This window comes from Homo sapiens, chromosome 4, assembly GCF_000001405.40.
Source record: "Homo sapiens chromosome 4, GRCh38.p14 Primary Assembly".
NCBI lineage: Eukaryota > Metazoa > Chordata > Mammalia > Primates > Hominidae > Homo > Homo sapiens.
Genome location: NC_000004.12, coordinates 8,408,068 through 8,431,657, shown reverse-complemented (window position 1 = coordinate 8,431,657; position 23,590 = coordinate 8,408,068). Strand labels below are relative to the sequence as shown.

Genomic DNA, 23,590 nt, shown 5'->3' with positions numbered 1-23,590 from the left:
TGCAGCTCCTGGTGGTTTCACCCAGAAATAGCTAACAAACATGTATAAAGCCAAATTCCCTTATTTTTTTCCCCAAATTTGCTCCCTTGGTGTCAGTCCCAGTGGCATCTCCATCCACCCAGGTCCCAAATACAACAGAGTGTAGCACGACCCCTTCCTCTCTTCCTACCTCCCCACCACCCTGACTCACAGAGAGGCCCGTGTTCCCTGTCAGATGCAGGTCAGCAGTGTCCTCAGGCCCAGGAGGGGAGCACGGTGGATGGAGAGTGCTACAGCGTGAGCAGGCAAATGCCAGAAGGTGGCCCCGAGGTGAAGCCACGGTCAAAGCTGAGAACTACAGTCTGACCTGCAGATGCCAATCTGGGAAACTAAATGGAGAGAGTGAAGTCAGGGGGCCAAAACTTGCTACAGGCCAGCCCTGACAAGCCAGAGGGTAGAGGAAGACAAGTGTGAAAAGAGGAGGGTGAAAAGGGACAGGCAGAGAAGGGAGGGGAGCCTGAGGACCTGGCCAAGGCTGGAAACCTGTGCTTTGTTTTCTCCATGTCATTTTGTGATGATGCCCTAACTTAAATAGAACCAACAATAAAAAGCCACTCAGCTCCCTCTCCACCCTCCAGCTCCACCAAGATGGCCTTATCTCAGGCCCTTGTCTTTTACCTGTACTGGCCACCAGATGCCCTGAGCTCTTCCCCTTTAGCCTGCCTTCCAATGTCTACCTAGAAATGGCTTCCCTCTCCCTCTCACTCCTGCAATGGACCCAAATCATTTCCCAGTGGGAAGATATTTTTATTTTTATTTTTTGAGATGGAGTTTCACTCTTGTCACCCAGGCTGGAGTGCAATGGTGCTACCTTGGCTCACTGCAACCTCTACCTCCTGCGTTCAGGCGATTCTCTTGCCTCAGCCTCCCAAGTAGCTGGGATTACAGGCGCCCGCCACCATGCCCAGCTAATTTTTGTATTTTTAGTAGAGATGGGGTTTCACCATGTTGGCCAGGCTGGTCTCAAACTCCTGACCTCAAGTGATCTGCCCACCTCGACCTCCCAAAGTGCTAAGATTATAGGTGTGAGCCACCACACCCAGCCGAAAGATGTTTTTCTAATGTCAGTAACACATGTGAACCCAATTGATTAGTAGTTGTAATTTTGGCAGAAATTGTGACCTAAAGGAGGTGTGAGTTCTGCAATAAATGGTTATTTTATTACTCTCAACAGTATCTCCAAACATTTGAAAAACAGTGGTGTGTATTTTTTATTAGACCATGATTGCTTTGTCTTCAGGCAATCCTTGTTGCTCCTGGGGATTCAGGGACCTTTGCAAAAACACAATAGACCCCTGGCTGGGAAGGCTAGTCTAGACTAAGGATCACTTCCGACTGCTTAGCAGGGTACCTGCCAGGCCCGAAATGATCTTTCAGTCCCTTCCTTCTGCTTTTGCAATCGGACGCTCCCACTGATACCCATAATTATATGTCTGTTTAAATAACAGTAATAACTGTGAAGAAAAATGTTGCCATGGAATCAAGGAGAAGGTATTTCAGAGTAGAACAGAAGTAGACAGAATTTCCAAACATGACCTGAGTATCCCCACCCAGATGTCCTACCAACATCTTAAACTTGATACACATTTAAAATTGTACTTCTCTTTCTCCTCCCCATAACTGAGCTGCACTGCCCATCTTTTAGTTCCCTATAAATGCAAACCTTTGGATTTAGTTTTCCTTGTGCTTTTTTCACTTTTTTTTTTTTAATGCAGAGTCTCACTATGTTGCCCAGGCTAGACTCAAACTCCTGGGCTCAAGTGATTCTCCCGCCTCAGCCTCACGAGTAGTTGGGACTGCAGATGAGAGAACCATGGCGCACAACGCCTGGCTCTTCCTTGTTCTTTACATGGCAAATTGCTAAGTCTAGTTGATTCTGTTGTAATGCCCAACCTTGTTTTTACTAACCCTGTTTTTAGACTCTCCCTTTTCCTTTAATCACCTAGCCTTGTTTCCACCTGAATTAACTCTCCCTTCGCTAAGAGAGCCAGACAGACTCCATCTTCGCTCTTTCACTGGCAGCCCCTTCCTCAAGGACTTAACTTGTGCAAGCTGACTCCCAGCACATCCAAGAATACAATTAACTGATAAGATACTGTGGCGAGCAATATCCGCAATTCCCAGGAATTCGTCTGATTGATAACGCCCAAAGCCCCGCGTCTATCACCTTGTAATAGTCTTAAAGCCCCTGCACCTGGAACTGTTTACTTTCCTGTAACCATTTATCCTTTTAACTTTTTTGCCTACTTTATTTCTGTAAAATTGTTTTAACTAGACTCCCCTCCCCTTTCTAAACCAAAGTATAAAAGAAAATCTAGTCCCTTCTTCGGGGCCGAGAGAACTTTAAGCGTTAGCTGTCTCTTGGCCGCTGGCTAAATAAATGCACTCTTAATTCGTCTCAAAGAGTGGCGTTTTCTCTAACTCGCTCAGGTACAACACTGTCTCTGTAAATTTCATAAGAAGTGTGTGTGTCTTAGTTTGGATCTCCCCAAACAGACCTTGAGACGAGGCTTTGGGTGCAGGTAATTGAAAATGGAGCTGATCTCGGAGTGCACGAGTGAGGAAGTGGAAAGTGTGAGACAAAGAAAAACAAGTAAAGGGTGGGTGATTGAGCTGGTTGCTGCTCTGGTCAATGAGGGCCCACTTCCACTAGGGGCTCTCTGAGAAACTCTGCAGAACCACGGTTCTCAAACTTCAGCAAGCTCTTGGGCATGCCGGGTCTTACTATGTTGCCCAGGCTGGTCTCAAACTCCTGGCCTCAAGCGATCCTCCTGCCTCGGCCTCCGAAAGCGCTGGGATTACAGGCATGAGCCACCACCTAGAGCCTGCTGATTAATTTGAAAATGCCCGGCCCCAGACTGGGGGTCCTGATCCAGTAGCCTTGGAGTGGGCCCCAAGAAGGGCCGCGGTGTGAACTGCATCTCAGAACTACGGCGCTCCGAGAGGGCAGCGACTCGCCAGAGTCGGTCAGCCAGGCCTTGCCTAAAAGCAGAGAAGGCAAGAGTGCCCGGGAGCGCCTGGCGAAGCTTCGTGGCTTCCAGCCCGCCCGGGTGGCAGCGGCGTCCGCGTTTCCAGGGCAACGAGGGTGGCGCGGTTCGATGACGTCAGGGCGCCCGCGGCTCCGCCCCGCCCATGGGACGGACGGAGGCCGAGAGGCGTGGCGGGGGAGCAGTGGGGCCAGGCCAGAGACAGCTGCGCTGTGCGGGCAGCTAGTCCCAGTACTCCGAGTCGGTCGCGGGCCGACAGGCATCCCCTGAGCGCCTGCTGGGTGAGTTGGACGGTGCAGAGCAGCGAGGACCGGGGAGCCCGAAGGTGGAGGCTGCGTTAGCGCCAGGGGCGCGGACGCGACGGGGCGGGAGCGGGGGCACTGAAAGTGCCAGGCCCGGGGGTGTGGGGGCTGTGAGGATTCGCGGGCGGGGGGGCCAGGGTTACCCAGAGCAGGGGCCAGGAGGGCCGGTGGCCCACGTGCTGGGCATTCGGAGGACTTTACACATTGAACTAGGCAGCTGTTCACGAAAGGGAAGTGATTCACATCGCAGAGAAGACTGGAGGCAGCTGTTGCCAGAATAGTGATCTTGAAGCCCCACTTCCTTGCCAGAAACTGCTCCAAGCGTCTCATGTGAATGACAGAAGCCTAGACGGTAGACCCTGGGCACTAGGCAGGCGTCACTGTATTTGGATGACAGTAGCCTCAGACAGTAGACCCTGGGCACTAGGCAGACATCACCATATTTGGAATGCAGCAGCCTAGACAGTAGACCCTGGGCACTAGCCAGGTGTCGCCGTATTTGGAATGCAGCAGCCCAGACAGTAGACCTTGTCTAGACACTGGGCCCTAGCAAGGCATTGTTACTGGCCGGTCTTTGCTCCCAGGGTGGTGGCAGGCCGGTCCCAATGGCAGCAAGGCTCTTGCTCTCTGACCTGGGGTTCTTGGCCTCATGGATTCCAAGGAATGGAACCTTGGGCCATGCGGTGAGTGTTATAGCTCTATTAGAAGCTGTGGGTCACGGAAGAGAACTGTGGAACCCAGCGACTAGTGTTCACCTCAATTAGGATGAACCCAGGCACTTAGCTGTGCGGGAACAATGGCGAGTCTCTAGCCCGGGAGCAGCAACCGGTGCCTCGCTGGATCAGAAGCGCAGTGGACACCCTGCTGGATCTGGAGGGGGGTGGAAGTCAGCGGGGCGTCTGCGACAGCAGCCATCAGCAGTGGTGGATGGCAAGCAAAAGCTCAGCTCAAACCGGAACAAACATGGACCAGAAAAGTGTGCAGTTGCAAGATTTAATATCGTGAAAACAGAGCTCCCATGCAACGGGAGGGGACCCAAAGAGGGTTGCCCGATTCGGCTTGAATGCCTGGGTTTATATCCTGATCATTGTCCCTCCCCCTGTGCTCTCAGGCGACAGATGATCTGATTATTTCTTTACCACCTGTTTTTAGCCTCATTGGTATTTTAGTGAGCTCTCTTTACTACCTGATTGGTCTGGTGTGAGCTGAGTTACAAGCCCCATGTTTAAAGGTGGGTGTGGTCACCTTCCCCAGCTAGGCTTAGGAATTCTTAGTCGGCCTAGGAAGTCCAGCTAGTCCTGTCTCTTAGTACCCCCTCTCAACAGGAAAACCCAAGTGCTGTTGGGGAGGTTGGCCGATGACCGCTGTAACTGCTTCCTGCTGAATTGGGGCGTAGTAGAGGTCATGCAGTTGAGATTTCCTCGGGAGTGGTGCCTTCGATGTCATCAACATCGGAGCATGGGCTAGCAGGCCAGTCCAGGGGTCCACGGTAGATCTTAGTCATGGACTGCATCTGGGGCTCCATTTGAAGAACATTTGTAGTTTCACAGCTTTGATTCTGGAAGAGACAAACTTAACAAGGAGGTTAAAGATACAGGGATTGAAATGTGTGGCCCGAAGTGCAGGGGCATATGGGTGTGGATGGTGAAAGTGGGGTTTCCTTTAGAAAAACTCCTATACAATGGGGCATCAATATTTCTGGGAAGCCGCATTCTCCATAGAAGCTCTTGGTAAGGGGAGCTACTGGTAGTATAGCGGCATGGAGGGGGTGAGGTGATAGTGAAAGGGGGGTAAGACAACAGTAAAGAGAAAAATATGACGGGGGGGGCCATGGAGCTCTACGATTCCAGTTACTTTCCTCGCAGTTGTCGCTTGAAGAGCAGGTGCAGATCCTCTAGAGGTTCACAGGAATAGCTAGCGTTGTCTCCTGAATTTTTGGGTTCCTTTGGCGGTATCCAGGGTTTGATGTGTCTAAGACTCCACTCCAGACACTTTAACTGCACTCAGGGTAGATAAAATGACTGGGTAGGGTCCTTCCCAGTATGTATCTAGGGGTGGGGACTTAGAGGGAAGGGACTTGACTAATACCATGTTACCAGGGTGGAATTCCTTTCCCTCCTCTCGGGTACAGGTTCCCTGTAATGTTTTAAGAACTTGTTGATATTTGGCTAAGGAGGTGATGTCTGCAACTAAATTGGCCGTCTCTCGGTCAAGCACAAGGTCATTGGTTAGGAAGGGCTGTCCATACAGCATTTCGTATGGGCTAAGTCCTGCTTTTTGGGGGGAGTTTTGTATTCTTAATAAGGCTATGGGCAACAGAGCAGGCCATGCGAGGTGGGTTTCCTGAGTTAGCTTTTTTAGATGTTGTTTGAGTGTTTCGTTCATTTTCTCGACCTTCCCTGAGGATTGTGGCCTCCAGGCGCAGTGTAAGTGATATTGTATGCCTAAGTAACGTCTGCGATACTCGCTGGGTTACTGCAGCCTTGAAAGCGGGGCCATTGTCACTCTGTAAGTCTCAGGGAAGTCCGAATCTGGGAATTATTTCATGAATTAGTGCCTTTATTACGTCTTCGGCCTTTTCTGTCCTACAAGGAAAGGCCTCCTCCCAACCAGTGAAAGTATCTATCCAGACTAGTAGATACTGAAATCCCTGAGATTTGGGCATGTGGGTAAAATCTAGTTGCCAGTCTTCTCCTGGGTAATGGCCTGTTCTTTGTTCTCCTGAAGGAGCTTGGCGATAAGGCAGGGGATTATTTCTTTGCCACACTTCATAGGCCCTGACTATCTGCTTGATAGTTTTGAAAAGTCCTGATCCAGTTAATAATGATTTGGCCGTCTGATAGGTGCTATCAATGCCTAAGTGAAAGGTCTGATGAAGGGTTTTAAGTAATTTCAATTGGTTAGCTGCAGGCAAAAGTATTTTTCCTTCTTCGGTGGCTAGCCATCCTGAGGGGAAGAAACTATGTCCTCGTGAGGTTCCCCATCCTATTTCTTTTGAGTACTGGGGCTTGGTTTCCTACAGGGGATTACCCCATACTAGGGGTCCTTCTATAAGCATTTCTAATGGAGGGTCCCACCTTGCGGCTCTTTTGGCTTCAGTATCTGCTTCGCGGTTCCCTTCTATTTCTCTTTCCTTTCCTTTCTGATCACCCCGGCAGTGTAAGACTGCCACCTCTTTAGGTTTCTGTACAGCCAATTGTAATCTCCTAATGGCTTCCTGAGATTTGATAGGTGTTCCCTCGGAAGTTAGGAATTCCCTTTCTCTCCATATTGCTGCATGGGCATGGAGGACTAGGTAAGCATTCTTAGAGTCTGTGTATATATTTACCCTTTTTCCTTCTCCTAATTTTAGTGCCTGAGTGAGGGCTATTAGTTCTGCCAGCTGAGCGCTAGTTCCTGGAGTGAGGGGATTACTTTCAAGTATTCCATTATCACTGACCACTGCATACCCTGCTTTTCGAAGTCGTTTTTCTACAAAGGAACTTCCGTCAGTATACAAGTTGAGGTCGGGATCAGTCAAGGAAACCTCTAGAAGGTCCCCTCGAGCGGCGTAGGTTTGAGCAATCACCTGTTGACAGTTATGTTTTATCTTTTCTTCATTGTCTGGAAGAAATGTGGCTGGATTAAGAGTTGCACGAGTGCGCAGTCGCAGCACTGGCCCTTCAAGTAATAGAGCCTGATATTTAAGCAAACGGTTGTCTGACAGCCGTAAGTCTCCTTTAGCAGTGAGTATGCCGTCCACATCATGAGACATCCACACAGTAAGATCTCTTCCCTGTATCATTTTAACTGCTTCAGATACTAAGACTGCTACTGCTGCCATTACCCATAAACAATGAGGCCAACCCTTTGCCACTACATCAGTTTCCTTACTCAGGTATGCCATGGGTTGCAACCTGGTCCCTCGGACCTGTGTAAGGAATCCTAGAGCTATTCCTGTTTTTTCTGTGACACATAAAGAAAAGTCTTGCCCCTTTGGCAAGCTTAACACTAGGGCTTGGATTAGGGCCTTCTTTAGGGCCTGGAAAGCCACTTCTGCTTCAGGTGTCCTTCTTACTAAATGGGTATTCACTTTCTGAGTTTCCTTAATTAGTGTGTATAATGGCCTGGCTATTTCACTGTACCTGGGAATCCATATTCGGCAGAAGCCTGTTATGCCAAGGAACCCTCTTAATTGCTTTATGGTTTTGGGATAAGGATAAGCCAGTATAGGCTGGATGCATTCCTCACTGAGGGCCCTGGTGTGTCTGGATAATTTTAGCCCTAAGTATTTAACCTGCTGTGAGCAGAGCTGAGCCTTTGGTCTGGAAACCTTGTAGCCACAGGTGGCCATGAAGTTTAAGAGCACTTGGGTGGCTTGATGGCACAAGGTTTCTGAATGGGTGGCTAAAAGTAAATCATCCGCATACCGAAGGACAAGAGTGCCCAAGTATGAGAACTGGCTCAAGTCTCGGGCTAATGCCTGGCCAAATAGATGGGGGCTGTCCATGAACCCTTGGGGTAAAACAGTCCAGGTGTGTTGAGACATTAGATTCAAAGGATCTTCAAAGGCAAGCAAGAATTGAGAGTCAGGATGTACAGGGATGCAGTAAAAGGCATCCTTAAGGTCCAGGACTGTAAACCACTCTGCTTCCTCTGGTATTTGGGAAAGCAGAGTGAGTATAAGATTAGGTACAGCTGGGTATAGAGGAACAACAGCCTCATTGATAATCCTGAGATCTTGCACTAACCTCCACTGTCCATTGGGTTTCTGTACTCCTAAAATTGGAGTATTGCAGGGGCTATTGCATGGTTTTACTAGGCCTTGGGCTTTTAGGTCCTTAACAATCTTTTGGAGTCCTTGTTGGGCCTCGGGTCTAAGAGGGTACTGCCTTTGGTGGGGAAAGGAGGCGGAATCCTTTAGTTTAACTTGAACGGGACGGGCATTCTTCCCTCATCCATATTGTCCTTCTGTTGCCCAGACTTCAGGATTAATTCCTTCCTCAAGTAGGGGACAGCAAACGGTGTTCCTTCTCCCATGTTCAGGTGTATAATGGCCCCTGCTTTTGCTAGAATGTATCTCCCTAACAAGGGTGTGGGGGTTTCAGGCATAATTAGAAAGGCAAGTGAAAAGAATGAAGTTCCCCAGTCACAACTTAGTGGCTGGGAGAAGTATCTAGTGACTGCCTATCCTAGGACCCCTCGGGTAGTGACAGATCTGGAGGACGGTTGTCCAGGACCAGAGACTAAGACTGAGAAGGCCATGCCAGTGTTCAGGAGACAGTTAACCTTCTGGCCCCCAATGGTCAAGCATACCTGGGGCATGGGCTGGCGCTTGCCCCGGGCACCCTCAGTCCTGCTGCTGGCTTATCTGGTTAGTGGCTTCTGACTGAAAGGACCTTCATCCCCTGGGGCAGTGGGCCTTCCAGTGATTCCCTTGACATGAGGGGCATGGATGAGGGGCAGCTTATTTCTATTCAGACAATCTTTTTTAAAGTGTCCTTGTAGACCACACTGGAAGCAAGCCCTATCAGGCATTTGATTTGCCCAGCGTTTCCCTTTTCCAGAGCCTCCAAAGTAAGATGCTCTCCTCCCCCAATTTCTACCCAGCTTACCTCCCCTGCTGCGATACAATCTCCAAGCCTTGGCTCCTTGGCCAGGGCCTTAGAACTGATGACCCAGTACTTTAACAACTGGAGCTATGCCTACAACAACACAATAGATCAGGATGAAAGCGAATTGAGTAAATTAAAGGGAGGTGCATATTCCTATAGTGGCAAATGGGGGCAAGAAGTGAACTTCTGCTTGCCTGAGGGCCCGTTTGTCCTGTTCTGCCTGCTCCTCCTGATCTCTATTGTGAAAAAAACCGAGGTTGCCAAGTTCATTAGAGTTTCTATGTTTTGCTCTGGGCCTAAGGTGGACTTTTGAAGTTTTTTTCCTAATGTTTGCATTACACTGTTTAACTGACAACAAAGTGGTATTGGAGTGTTATAGGGTCATAGAGAAGACCTTCAATTATCAATTATAGGTTTTAAATTTACCCTGGCTTTTAAAGGAATAGGGTACACTGTTTTTTTCTTAACTACTTATATATCTCTCTCTTTCTTTCTCTCTTTGACTGTCTCTCTCTTTCTCTTTGACTTTCTGCCTTTCTTCCCCCCTCTCTCTTTCTTTCTCTCTCTTCTCTCTCTCTTTCCTTTCTCTCTCTGTTTCTCTTTCCCTCTCATTCTCTCTCTTGATAGATGGATTTTGGGAACACAGCGGAAGAATGTTCGCTCGTTGCCCCCATTTGCCTCTATAGGAATATGCGCCTCCCTTTAATTTACTCAATTCGCTTTCTTCCTGATCTATTCTGTTGTCGTAGACACAGTTCCAGTTGTTAAAGTACTGGGTCATCAATTCTAAGGCCCTGGCCAAGGAGTCTAGGCTTAGAGATTGTATTGCAGTGGGGGAGGTAAGCTGGGTAGAAATTGGGGGAGGAGAGCATCTTACACAATGGGAGAGCAATCCTCCTAGCCATTTACAAACTTGGGGCCCTGGCAAGGGTGGTAGGTCCCACATAACTTCCCATGTCGAGAGCTGTATATCTAAATTGGGAGGGACACCAGGGACAAGACTCCCTGGGTTCATACCCTAGGTGCTTAAGGACACAGCGTAGAGCTTCCTTAGATCCCTTTGGAGATACAACTTGCTCTAATACTTGGGAGAGGAAGTGAGTCTGAAGCATTAGTACCTAGGAGGCAGGGATCAGAGGAAGTAGATTCAGAGGTAAGGAGAATTTTGGGGCTACACTTTCAAGAAAGTCATGGTTAGGACCCAGGAGGTATGGGCCAGAAGGAGAGATAGGGGTGCACGCATGGGCAACTGTTGAGTAGAGACTTCTGGCTGCGCCATGATCTTGACCGGCCAATGCCGGGAATTTGGGACGACAGCTTTCTGCCTCTAGTCAGCCCTCTGCTTCCCCAAGAAAACTGTAAAAGTGGAAGCTGGTTCCAGGCAGACCAATGCTCCCAACCCAAAAGGGTTGGGGATTGTTAGAAAGCCTTTTCCCAGAAAGCCTCACACCTGAGTCTTAAGTCCGGTGGCCACATTAATCATTTTTAACCAGCCAACAGGTGCCCAGTATTTTCCTCCAATTCTAAGGAAGGGTAGGACAGAATAGCAAGTGAAAGTGGTTCAATATTACTCACCGCTTTGGAGAATCCCCATACGAGCCCAGCAAATGTTACCGATGAGTGTTTGCTCCCAGAGCTCCCAAGATGGTGGTGGGCCGCTTCCAAAATGGCAGCAAACCTCTTGCTCTCTGACCTGGGGTTCTTGGCCTCACGGATTCCAAGGAATGGAACCTTGGGCCATGCGGTGAGTGTTATAGCTCTATTAGAAGCCGTGGGTCATGGAAGAGAACTGTGGAACCCAGGGACTAGTGTTCAGCTCAATTAGGACGAACCCAGGCACTTAGCCATGCAGGAACAATGGTGAGCCTCTAGCCCGATTGGGAGCAGCAATGGGTGCCTCACTGGATCAGAAGCTCAGTGGACACCCTGCTGGATCCGGAGGGGTGGAAGTCAGTGGTGGGTCTGCGATGGCGATGATCAGCAGTGGTGGACAGCAAGTGATAGCTCAGCTCGAGCTGGAACAAACATGGACCAGAAGAGTGTGCAGTTGCAAGATTTAATAGAGTGAAAACAGAGCTCCCATTCAACGGGGGGGTACCCAAAGGGCGTTGCCTGATCTGGCTCGAATGCCTGGGTTTATATCCTGATCATTGTGCCTCCCCCTGTGCTCTCAGGGGATAGGTGATTTAATTATTTCTTTACCTCCTGTTTTTAGCCTAATTGGTATTTTAGTGAGCTCTCTTTACTACCTGATTGGTCTGGTGTGAGCTGAGTTACAAGCCCCATGTTTAAAGGTGGGTGTGGTCACCTTCCCCAGCTAGGCTTAGGAATTCTTAGTCAGCCTTGGAAATCCAGCTAGTCCTGTCTCTCAGCATCACTGTATTATCACCCCCAAGGTGCACAGATCTTAGGAAGGTCACCCAGCTAGAAAGCTGTAACATTGAGATTTGAACCCAGACAGTCTGGCTTCACAATCCTTATCTCTAACAGTTGTACCATAATGCAGTAAGGTTGGTGACTTCAAGTGGCATGGGCCCATAGGTACTTGTTAGGATCTGGGGATTTGGAGCCAGCTGTGCTTGATAATAGTTGTATGACCATGGTCAATGTCTCTAAGAAGCTCCAGTTTCCTCACCTGGAAAAGGAGACTACTGATAGTACTTGGGCTTGGTGGGCACAGTTGAGGTCTATGTAGCTGCTTAACACAGTCACCTGCACACAGCACCAGCTCAGTAACTGGAGGTTGTTATGAGGGTTTTATCAGGCTGGAGAGAAATGAGAAGATTCCGTAAGGTGTTAGAGATGCACTGTGGACTTGGTAATGTACTGAGGTTATGGCGCATGGAGAGGGGAATTCCAACATGACACTGGGGTTTGTAATTCCAGTAATCCTTGGGTGACTGGCAGTGTGGAACTGGGGTGCAGGAGGCGAAGCTGGGTCAGGGCTGAGAGGCTGAATTCAGTGTTGAACACTCAGTATGGGCATCTCCAGAACATGAGAGGTGGGGAATTGCCGTTGACTGCCAAATGAGCTCACGAGTCTGGAGGTGTGAATCGGGGAGCCTTGCACACATTGAGGACGTGATGTTTTCGGTTCTCTTGCGTACATACCTCAGAGTGGAATTGCTGAGTCATGTGGTCACTCCATGTTTAATCACTTGTGGAACTGCCACACTGTTCTCCAGAATGGCTGGGTCACTTTACATTTTCACTGGAAGGGCATGAGAGTCTGATTTCTCCACATCCTCTCAATACTTGTGATTATTTTTCTGTTTCTTTTTTCTTTTTTTCTTTTTTTTTTTGAGACAGAGTTTCACTCTGTCACCCAGGCTGGAGTGCAGTGGCGCAATCTAGGCTACTGCAATCTCTGCCTCCCGGGTTTAAGTAATTCTCTGCCTCAGCCTCCCAAGTAGCTGGGACTATAGGCACCTGCCACCATGCCCGGCTAATTTTTTTGTATTTTTAGTAGAGATGAGGTTTCACCATGTTGGCCAGGCTGGTCTTGAATTCCTGACCTCATGATCCACCTGTCTGGGCCTCCCAAAGTGCTGGGATTACAGGCATGAGCCACTGCGCCTGGCCTATTTATCTGGTTCTTTAAGAGATAAGGTCTTGCTGTATCACCCAGGCTGGTCTCAAACTCCTGGGCTCAAGCTGTCCTCCTGCCTTAGCCTCCCCAGAGTAGCTGGGACCACAGGCACGTGCCACTATAGCCGGCATTTAGTATTTTAGTATCTTTTTGCTCATTGCCATCCTAGTGGATGTGAAGTGGTCTCTCATTGGGTTTTTGGTTTGCATTTTCCTGGTGGCTAATGATGTTGACCATATTTTTCTGTGTTTTTGTTGTTGTTGTTGTTTGTTTGTTTTGTTTTCTTTGAGACCGAGTTTCATTCTTGTTGCCCAGGCTAGAGTGCAATGGCACAATCTCAGCTCACTGCAGCCTCTGCCTCCCGGTTCAACCGATTCTCCTGCCTCAGCCTCCTGAGCATCTGGGATTACAAGCATGCGCCACCATGCCCAGCTAATTTTTGTATTTTCAGTAGCGATGGGGTTTCACCGTGTTGGCCAGGCTGGTCTCAAACTCCTGACCTCAGGTGATCCGCCCGTCTCGGCCTCCCAAAGGGATTACAGGTGTGAGCGTGCCTGGCCTTTCCTGTATTTTTTGGCCATTTGTCTGTCTTTGGAGAAATGTCTATTTGAACCCTTTGCCCATTTTTTAATTGGTTTTTTGTCATTTTATTATTGAGTCTTAAGAATTTTTTTTTTTTTTTTTTTTTGAGATGGAGTCTCGCTCTGTCACCCAGGCTGGAATGCAGTGGTGCAATCTTGGTTCACTGCAACTTCTGTCTCCCAGGTTCAAGCGATTCTCCTGCCTCAGCCTCCTGAGTAGCTGGGATTACAGCCATGTGCCACCATGCCTGGCACATATAATCTTTTTTATATGTTGCTGGATTCAGTTTATAAAATTTCATTCAGGATTTTTGCATCTGTATTACAAGAGATGTTTATTTCTAGTTCTCTTGTGATGTCTTTGTCTGGTTTTGGTGTCAAAGTAATACTGGCCTCATAGAATGAGTTGGGAAGTATTATCTTCTCTTCTGTTTTTGGGAAGAGCTTGAATAATTGATCTTCTTTAAATGTTTGGCAGAATTCACAATGGAACCCCTGGTTTTTCTTCGTGGACAGTTTATTGATTGCTAATTCAATCTCTTCAGTCATTATAGATCTGTTCAGATTTTCAGTTTTTCATAAGGCAGTTTTGTTAGCTGTGTCTTCCCAGGAATATGACCACTTCATATCATTTGTTGGCATACCATGGTTCACAATATTCCCTTATAATCCTTTTTATTTCTTTAGGGTCAGTGGTGATGTCCCGTCTTTGATTCCTGATGAGGAATTTGTGTTTTCTCCTTTTTATTTGGCCAGTCTAGCTGAAAGTTTGCCAATTGTGTCAGTCTTTGCAAGGAACCAACTTGATCGTTTATTGATTTTTCTCTATTTTTCTGTTCTCTGTTTCATTCACAGTTGCTCTATCTTTTATTATTTTCTTCCTTCTGCTTTAAGAAGGAAGGAAATAATTTAAGTTTACTTTGTGTTTCTTTTCCAGTGTCTTAAGGTGGTACTTGAAAGGCATGACTCTGAGGTTAGACATTGCTGGGCTTGGAGCCCTTCTCCCCACTTCTCAGCGGAGGGGGTTTGGGAAACACAGCCTCTCTGAGCTTCCGTTTCTCCATCTTTCATGGGGGGCAGTAGTACTTGGCTCACAGCTGTTGGAGGGTGAAATAAGATAAGACTATAGAAGGCAGGATTCCTGCCGCCGCCCACCAACAGGTGCTCAGACCTGCGGCTCCCACCTCCCTGCACAGAGGGGAGTCAGCATCCTGAGCGGCCAGACTCAGGCTCCAGCACCGCAGGCTGTTTCAGCTCAAAGGACTCAAAAGTTCCTCTTTCCTCTAGGCCTTAAACAGTGAAGGTGGGCGGCCCACGCCCAGGACTCAGACAGACTTGGGTTCACCAGCCATTCCCTTCAATGCCTTCATCAGCCAAGCCACTTGGAAAAGGACCCAGTCTATCCAGAAAATTCCAGAATGGTTATTTGGTCAAGAGAGCTGAGTTTTGGGAGGCCTGCTGTGTTAGCGGGAAGCCAGGTGTCTATATGTCGAGGAGAAGCCAGTGCAGAAGCCTGTGATCAGAGGTTCTGTGCTGGAGGCCCTGTGTCCAGGTGGACCGGCGGTGGGTGGAGACGTGAGGTACCATTGTGTGTGGCCAGAGTGGACCAGCTGGCACTGGCTGGATTCCAGAGGGAATGCTTCCTGACCCTGGGTTTAGTGAGCCTTGGGGATGAGTCTGGATGTCCGGGGTGCTCCCAAGAGGGCAGGGTACTCTCAGGCAAGGCTGTGTGACAGAAAACAAGACTCTGACAAACCCTCTGCCCTGTGTGCCTGGTGACCCCCAGGCTGTGCCTGGCTCTCTTCTGTGTCCTTGGCATCTGTGTTCAGGAGTGGACGAGGGAATTCTTCTCGCCTTTTCTTCTGGGAAAATGATGCTAGCCATTCACAGAGTGATTCTCTTTTGCCATCCTTTTGGATTTCAAGTTTACTTTTCTCTGATTTGTAAGGTGTTGCGGGCTCTCCTGTTGGTGGGGGTAGTTTGAACCCATAGATGGGAGAGCATGGATTCAGGTTGCATGTTTTGTGCAGGCTCTTATCACGCGATGGCATCCACTGTGGAAGGAGGCGACACAGCTCTGCTCCCAGAATTCCCCAGGGGGCCCCTCGATGCCTACCGAGCAAGAGCGTCCTTCAGCTGGAAGGAGCTGGCGCTGTTCACGGAAGGGGAGGGCATGCTCCGCTTTAAGGTGAGGCGTGCGGTTGTGCGCAGCTTGTCTTTTTTCCCAGTGGGGTCTTAGTTCGTTAGCAGAATGGGATTTCTGGCTCTCACAGCTCCTCCTCTGCCGGGCGAGGCTCATCCCAGGCAGCGCGGCCTCTCTCCTCTCTGCACCCCAGGACAGGCCTCAGGGAATTGATGAGGAGTCTGGAAATGAACACGGATTGTTGATGTTTCTTAAGCCTCCAGTCCTCTAGTCCATTGGGAATGATAGTCATATCTCTGTCTGGGTGTCTCCGGGTCAGACTGTGTCCCATGAAGCCTGTGGCCTGGAGGTCAACTATATAAGGGCACATGGAGAGTCCATCTTTTACTCCAAATAAGCCTTACCCATCTCCTGCATTTCCAGAAAACCATCTTCTCAGCTCTTGAGAATGACCCTCTTTTCGCTCGTTCCCCTGGAGCCGATCTGTCCTTGGAGAAGTATCGCGAGCTGAACTTCCTTCGATGCAAGCGGATCTTCGAGTATGACTTCCTCAGTGTCGAAGACATGTTCAAGAGCCCTCTGAAGGTCCCCGCCTTGATTCAGTGCCTGGGCATGTATGACTCTTCTCTGGCTGCCAAGTACCTCCTCCATAGCTTGGTGAGCATGCGGCCTAGGGGAGAGGGAAACGGCTTTCATGCTGCGCTGAGCCTTGAGGGATGCCTGTCCCAGGGCCAACCAAGAGGCAGAGAAACACCAGTTTGTCCAGCTATATTTGCAAATTTTAAAAATTATCTTTTTTTTAATGTTTTTAAAAAAATTTCAGTCCCCCTTTTCATTTTTTTATTTTCAAGCCCATCCACCATCATGTATTTGTAAATTTGCACCCATAAGTCCTTGAATAAAATACAATGTGGTGAAGCTTCAAGTCCCATCAGAAGAGGAGCTGTTGGGACTTTTTTTTTTTTTACCTCATACAAAAAAAGAGACAAATGATTAAAAAAAAAATAAAAAAATTTAAAAAGTAGGCCAAAGGGAGAAACCTGTGTTTTTCCTTCCTTTGTAACATACCAGCAGAGCTGAGCTTGGGCAAAATGGCTTTGCCCTTAGCCTTGCCTGCATTGTTTGATGGGCTGGTGGGCTCTGCTCTCCTTACAGCTCTCCCTGCTGTCCTCAGACCCCCAGGACTCCTTGCAGGCATCTTAATTCCCAGGTGATTTCTGTGTGCCTTATACAAGGTGCTCGGCACAGAGATGTAGGTCTTACCACTCACATGAACTCAGGGACCCGGGGCAGCTGTGTGTCAGGAGACCCTGGCCTTGGGCATCCAGGCTGCTGGCTAACCTCTCAGCACTTGTTCTCCACCTTGGGGAAAGTGCAGTGTGGCAGGGAACCAGCGTGGGCATGGTGTTGAGTGCCGTTGTCTGTTGTGATGTTCCGGAAGAGCAGTACTCTTCTTACCTGCCCCCTGTTGATAGGACGATGTTATACTTTCAGGTTTTTGGATCAGCAGTTTACAGTTCTGGTTCTGAAAGACATCTCACATATATTCAAAAGATCTTCAGGATGGAGGTAAGTTCTGGTTCATGGTAAATTGTGAGCCTGGTTCTCTTGCTTGATCTCTGTAGAGATTTGTGAAAAGAGAAGATTGTAGAAGGGGGTGCCCAGGGGGCTTATGCTCTTCTTGTTTCCTAGTGTTCTCAGGCTTCTCACCAAATAGCTAGCACTGTTCTTTAGCAAACACAGGCACATTGACTTCCTAGCACCAGGTGAATTGTCACTGAGGCCTTCCACTGTCTTTTCCTGATGAGCAGTTCCTGCCACCTTGCTGACGTGGAGCAGCTGCGGTCAGCTTGGTTTAGGCTGCTGTGGTTGCCAGCTGAGTGTGGCAGCATGACTCAGTCAAGTCACTAGTTGGGTAGATGGAAATTTGGGGCTTTGATATGTGGTTTCATCTTTAAAGGAAAGATGGCAGTGAGGTCCTTCTGGGAATGTGCACAAAGAACTTTTCTTGCTTTCCATCATTTTGTGCTTTGACATTTAGATTTTTGGATGTTTTGCTCTGACCGAATTAAGCCACGGCAGTAATACCAAGGCCATTCGCACAACTGCCCACTACGATCCTGCCACTGAGGTAGGTATTACCTTCCCCCGGGTCCCTGAGTTTGGAGCATATGAGACGTCATGAGTGCAAATGCCGTTGCCCAGAATAAGAAAAAAAAAACATTAAAGCAAGAGGCCTGTCCACATACACTTGTGTAGAAATACCCACTGAGATTCATCACACTGAAAAGTGGGGCCCAGGAGATCAGGCATTGGAGGACAAAGCCTGTGCCCACCATGAACTTTATGGGGAATTGATCGTGGTTTGGATTTGTGTGTAATTTGAGTGCAGTGAAGAAGCCCTCATTCTGTAAAATTTATTGCCTTGTTTACCTGGCTGCCTATGCGTAGTGGATTCATAAACCGTTCTCATGGCCCGTGGTTTCTACGGTGGGCCCCATGGAGACAACATGCTCCCTGCCCTCTGCCCTTTGTGGCTGTCCCTCTGCGAAGAGCCTGCCTTGTCCATTTCCGCCACCGCAGTCTGACTCCTCGGGTCCTTGCCATCCTCTTGACCTCTCTGGTACCTGCATTGTGGCTGCTGCCTGGGAGTTCTGGTGTGGTGCAGTGAGACGGGCCACAGATGGATGCCCTGGGGCTGTCAGTGCTGTGGAGGGGCACGGGGTGCAGTGAGACGGGCCACAGATGGATGCCCTGGGGCTGTCAGTGCTGTGGAGGGGTGGAGGGGTGGAGGGAGATGGGCCACAGATGGATGCCTTGGGGCTGTCAGTGCTGTGGAGGGGCGCAGAGGTGCAGTGAGACGGGACACAGATGGATGCCCTGGGGCTGTCAGTGCATGGAGGGGTGCATGGAGGGTTGCGGGGTGGAGGGAGATGGGCCACAGATGGATGCCCTGGGGCTGTCAGTGCTGTGGAGGGGCGCAGGGGTTCAGTGAGACGGGCCACAGATGGATGCCCTGGGGCTGTCAGTGCTGTGGAGGGGCACAGGGGTGGAGGGAGATGGGCCACAGATGGATGCCCTGGGGCTGTCGGTGCTGTGGAGGGGCGCAGGGGTGCAGTGAGACGGGACACGGATGCCCTGGGGCTGTCAGTGCTGTGGAGGGGTGCGGGGTGGAGGGAGATGGGCCACAGATGGATGCCCTGGGGCTGTCAGTACTATGGAGGGGTGCAGGGGTGGAGGGAGATGGGCCACAGATGGATGCCGTGGGGCTGTCAGTGCTGTGGAGGGGCGCAGGGGTGCAGTGAGATGGGCCACAGATGGATGCCCTGGGGCTGTCAGTGCTGAGGAGGGGTGCGGGGTGGAGGGAGATAGGCCACAGATGGATGCCCTGGGGCTGTCAGTGCTGTGGAGGGGTGCAGGGGTGCAGTGAGACAGGCCACAGATGGATGCCCTGGGGCTGTCAGTGCTGTGGAGGGGTGCGGGTTGGAGGGAGATGGGCCACAGATGGATGCCCTGGGGCTCTCAGTGCTGTGGAGGGGCACAGGGGTGGAGGGAGATGGGCCACAGATGGATGCCCTAGGGCTATCAGTGCTGTGGAGGGGCGCAGGGCAGCGAGGGAGGATGGGGAGGGTCCTCACCCACCCTGTTCTGTTCCCTGGCCCTGCCTCCCTGCCACCACATGACTCTCCTTGGCCTCCGCTTGTCCCTGAGGCCTAGGTCTCCCTGCCAGTCTTTCCTCACCCGCCTTCCACCCTCCCCCATTGGCAGTGGTCAGGGAGGACTGTTGTGTGGCAGGAAGTGAAGCTCTGCACCTGCGGATGTGCTCAACCAGTCATCCATCCATCATTCTTTCATCCATCCATTCATTCTTCCATCTGTCCATTCATTCTTCCATCCATCCATTCATCCTTCCATCCATCCATTCATTCTCTCATCCATCCATTCATTCTTCCATCCATCCATTCATTCTTCCATCCATCCATTCATTCTTCCATCCATCCATTCATTCTTTCATCCATCCATTCATTCCACAGCCTGGGCTGTGTGGACTGTGCCTGGGGTACTGCATGGAAGAGCCCAGGAATGAACTCAAGCGGACCCGTAGCCCAGCAGGGATAAGAGGTGGTCCTCGCACAGGGTGCCCCTGCTGTGGGGCCTTGGGAGTGGGGCCAAGGCTCCTTCTCAGAGTGGGGCTAGGAGAAAGTAGGGCATGAGGTTCTTTTCAGAATTTTCTTTTAAGCCATAAGATATCTTTATCTGAACCCAGGTCTTTCTGGCCCCATGGCTGCTTCTCCTCCTGCTGTCCTCTTTGCCTGTGGCCTGCAGTGCCAGGAGGTGGGGCCCTTTCTGACAGGCAGATGGACAACAGCACCCAGGTAGCCTTGGGGTGGGGCATCAGAGGACCACTTCCCATTTCCACCTCCTTCTTTTTGGCATTTGATCCCTAAGTGGAGGTCAGAGTGTGGCATCAGATCCGTAGAGTTGGGGTGCCCAGGATCCAGGCTGGGCTGCTGGCTGAGCATTTATTTGGACAGCAGGCATTGCTGGGTACCTGTTGTGTGTGAGGCACAGCTTTCCAAGACTGGGCTGGAAGTGGCGAGCACAGCAGACAGGTCTCTGCTGTCCTGAAGTTGTGGGCTGGGGGGAGACACAGACACCAACAGAAAGAAGTGAGATGTGCTGGGCACCATGGAGGCCCTCCAGAGAGCAAAGCTGGTATGCCGGGGCGCAGGGAGGCAGCCAGACAGTCGAGACAGTGGGAAAGATCTGTGTGGAGCAGTGCAGGCCCCGAGGAGCCGGCTTGGGCCGGTGTTGCAGTGCACACCTGCACTGCGGAGAATGAGTGACAGGTGGAGGTATCAGAACTGCCGCGTGCTGAAGAATGAATGGGGAGGGCCTGGCTGAGACTGGGAGCCCTCCTTACCCTCGCAGGCGAAGAGCTGGTGGTCCCCTGAGAGAAGAGAACAGAAGGCATGGCTGGCAGCCACCCCACCTCCTACTTCTCCTCAGTGAAACTTCAGGATCTATAGGATGATTGTTCACTACTCTGTTTACAGAATCCCACTGGTTAGACAGGAGGAAGCCCTCCCCGGCACGTTATTTTGTAGCCTCCCACCCTGCAGGGGCTGGAACCAGAACCAAAACTTAGCCACGACAGCCCCTAGCAGTGACTGGCAAGCTCCGCGTGGAGGATCAGTGTCTCCCGAGGCGGCCCAGGGCAGCTCTGTGGGCCACCTGCGGGCTGTCTGCCTGAAGGCGCTCATCTTTGTCCCCTTGCGGATCCCGGCCACATTATGCAGCACTGCTGGTCCGCATCCTCCCTCCCAGCCTTACTCGAAGGGCTCCCAGCAGACGCCCCTGGGGCAGGCCCAGCCCCAGCGGCCCAGCTCCTGCCTGTTCCCACGTGCTCTTCGCTTCTGACCCATGCAGCACCCTCAGTGTTCCTTGGGGATCTGTCCACACCCCTTCTAGCCAAACACCGAACGCTGTGATGCCACAGCCCATCTGCTAGTTCACGCATGCGTTCCTTCCTTCCTTCCTTCTGATGTTCTGAGCGGCTGCCTTGTGCTCGGGGCATTTGGGATATAACTGTCAATCACGGAGCTGTGGATGGGAGAGACAGCAAGGGGGCAGCAGTGTGTTGTGAATTAGAGGTCCTAAAGAACTGAGTGGACTGCACGGCATTCCCACAGCCCTGCCCACAGGGCACAGACAGCCCCGCCCACAGTGCACAGACAGCTCCGCCCACAGTGTATCCACAGTGTTTCTACCTAAGGGGCGTGGTTAGGGACTGAAGACTATATGATAATGAAAACTCCCTGGAAGCGTTTGCCAGCCTGCGGAGTATTTTGCATCTGAAGGTTCTTTAAGTCATAAGGCCCAGGAATAGGCTGTGTTTAAAAAATAGGCCTGCCTGTGCCATACAAGAACTAAAATGTGCGATTAGTTTCAACTCTTGCCTCAGAGATTTTGAACGTAGAAAATGGAATCTGTCTAAAAGGAAAACACCAATTCTGCATGTGCTTTAGTTGCTAATTATAACTAACCTAAATTTTCCCTTGTGCAGGAATTCATCATACATTCCCCTGATTTCGAAGCTGCCAAGTTTTGGGTTGGCAACATGGGCAAGACAGCCACTCACGCGGTGGTGTTTGCTAAGCTGTGTGTGCCAGGGGACCAGTGCCATGGGCTGCATCCCTTTATCGTGCAGGTAGGACGCTGGGGTGGCCCTCAGTGGGGGCAGTGTTTACCCCCAGGAAGCACTGGTAATGTCTGGAGTCATTTTTGTCATAACAAGGGTGGGGCATGCTTCTGGCATCTGGTGAGTGGACCAGGGACACTGCCCAGGACCCCAGTGCATCCCATAGCCCCGCCCACAGTGCAAACAGCCCCGCCCACAGTGCATTCCACAGCCCTGCCCACAATGCAGATAGCCCCGTCCACAGTGCATCCCACAACCCTGCCCACAGTGCACAGACAGCCGCGCCCACAGTGCACAGACAGCTCCGCCCACAGTGTATTCCTACAGCCCCGCCCACAGTGTATCCTACAGCCCCACCAGCAGCGCACAGACAGCTCTGCCCACAGTGCAGACAGTCCTGCCCACAGTGCACAGACAGCTCCACCCACAGTACAGATAGCCCTGCCCACGGTGCACAGACAGGCCTGCCCAAAGTGTATCCCACAGCCCCGCCCACGGTGTATCCTACAGCCCTACCCGCAGCACACAGACAGCTCTGCCCACAGTGCAGACAGTCCTGCCCACAGTGCACAGACAGCCCTGCCCACAGTGCACAGACAGCCCCACCCACAGTACAGATAGCCCTGCCCACAGTGCACAGACAGGCCCGCCCAAAGTGTATCCCACAGCCCTCCCCACAGTGTATCCTACAGGCCCACCCGCAGTGCACAGACAGCTCCACCCACAGTGCAGACAGTCCTGCCCACAGTGCAGACAGCCCCGCCTATGGTATATCCCACAGCCCCTTCCAGGGTGCATAGGCAGCCCCACCCACAGTGTATCCCGCAGCCCCTCCCACGGTGCAGACAGCCCTGCCCACAGTGCACAGACAGCCCCACCCTTGCCTTAGAAAGAAACATCCAGCCCAATGTCCCCCAGTGACACAGCTGAGAGGGCCTGGCCAAGGCTCCTGGCCACAGGAGCTGCAGGCCTCTGAGACCATCTGGTTGATTTGATGCACAAAGTTTTTCAATTTCGATGAAGTCCAGTTTTACGTTTTTTTCTTTTGTTGCTCATGTTCTTATTTTTCAGTTGACCTGACGTTTGAGCTGTTGCAGACCAGAGAGATTTTTTTCATTGTAAGGTTACAGGACAAAACCAAAGTGTTTTTCCTACTGTCATGCAGCCATCACAACGCTTCTGACATTAGATGTGTGTGGGTTTCTCCCCACCAGCAGGCAGCTCTGCAGCAGAAAGCAGCTGGGCGTCCTCTAATTTAACTCCATACTGATGCTGTTCACCTGGGGTGAGCCTCAGACCGCCCCCACCCCCCCCCCACCCCCCCCCCCCAGTGAGGGCTCAGTCCCACAAGAAGCTCCCCAACCCTTTGGATGCCAATGGCAAGTCCAGGTTGTGGCCTGTGCCTCTGATCAATCCCCTAATTGTACCTTGGTCTTCATCCTGAAGCTATTTAGGGGTCTGCAACCATCTCATGAGCACACAAAAGACTGTCACCACTGCAGAGAGTCCAGGGTTTTAGGAGTCGTGTGCTGGGAAGCAGGGACAAGGCCAAATATGTATTTATCACAGCATCATAGTTACCTGAGGCCAGTGTGCCTTGTTTCTGTGATTATAGATTTCTACCTGGAGTGGACTTCTTGCGGGAGTTGCCTGGACTAGAATTCAGCAGCTTTCGGCGTGTCTGATTTTGGGGACATAGAGCCGCAGTGTTTTAGACTTGTTTATGTTGTGCTAAAAACACTCCGCAGGATTGTGTCGCCCCTCTCGCCACTGCACCAAGTGCTCAGGGCACCTGAGTCCACCTCCCAGAGCCACGGCCTCCTGCCTGATAAGGAGGGATGGAAACAGTGGTCTTGGGGTTATTTGGACAGGATTGTGATCTGCGCCCCAGACCTGAGCTGGTGGGCGGAGGGGCAGGCATCTTTTGCAGGTTTCTTTCTTTTTTTCTTTTTTTTTTTTTTGTGAGACAGTGTCTGAATCTTTACTGGGCCTTGCTGAAAGATTTTAGAAAAGGAGAGGATGTTTACATTTGGGTTTTAGCCCTTTTTGAGTGTTTCTTTATTTTAAAGTTCAGTGAAGTTAGATGGTGAATTGACAGACATAAACAGAAGCCAGCTAGCAGGTCATGCACATAGCTAAATTCCCCGTAGCAC

General features: G+C 50.6%; 1 protein-coding gene across 23 annotated transcripts in view, besides 2 other annotated features; it reads left to right on the top strand.

Annotated features, from left to right (window-relative positions):
- Window positions 1-23,590, top strand: part of ACOX3 (acyl-CoA oxidase 3, pristanoyl) — an 85,419-nt gene that overhangs the window by 9,066 nt on the left and 52,763 nt on the right. For 10 of the 23 annotated variants that reach the window (XR_007057970.1, XR_007057968.1, XR_007057971.1 and 7 more), the window contains exons 1-6: window positions 3,210-3,307; window positions 15,123-15,280; window positions 15,659-15,892; window positions 16,730-16,804; window positions 17,277-17,366; window positions 21,303-21,446. Coding sequence is in view for 18 of the 23 variants with exons in the window: in XM_011513566.2 (XP_011511868.1) it covers window positions 15,137-15,280; window positions 15,659-15,892; window positions 16,730-16,804; window positions 17,277-17,366; window positions 21,303-21,446 (687 nt within the window). In the remaining 5 variants the exon portion in view is untranslated. Of the gene's footprint in view, window positions 1-214; window positions 3,352-15,122; window positions 15,281-15,658; window positions 15,893-16,729; window positions 16,805-17,276; window positions 17,367-21,302; window positions 21,447-23,590 lie in introns of those variants that run through there. The other 13 variants (XR_007057969.1, XM_047416231.1, NM_001101667.2 and 10 more) reach the window with 6 other exon arrangements.
- Window positions 3,167-3,396: a silencer, noted in NCBI's record as "silent region_15263". NCBI's record gives its function as "represses an Ori minimal core promoter by ATAC-STARR-seq in GM12878 lymphoblastoid cells {active_cell/tissue: GM12878}" and the evidence as "EXISTENCE:reporter gene assay evidence [ECO:0000049][PMID:35858748]".
- Window positions 12,114-12,163: an enhancer, noted in NCBI's record as "active region_21292". NCBI's record gives its function as "activates an Ori minimal core promoter by ATAC-STARR-seq in GM12878 lymphoblastoid cells {active_cell/tissue: GM12878}" and the evidence as "EXISTENCE:reporter gene assay evidence [ECO:0000049][PMID:35858748]".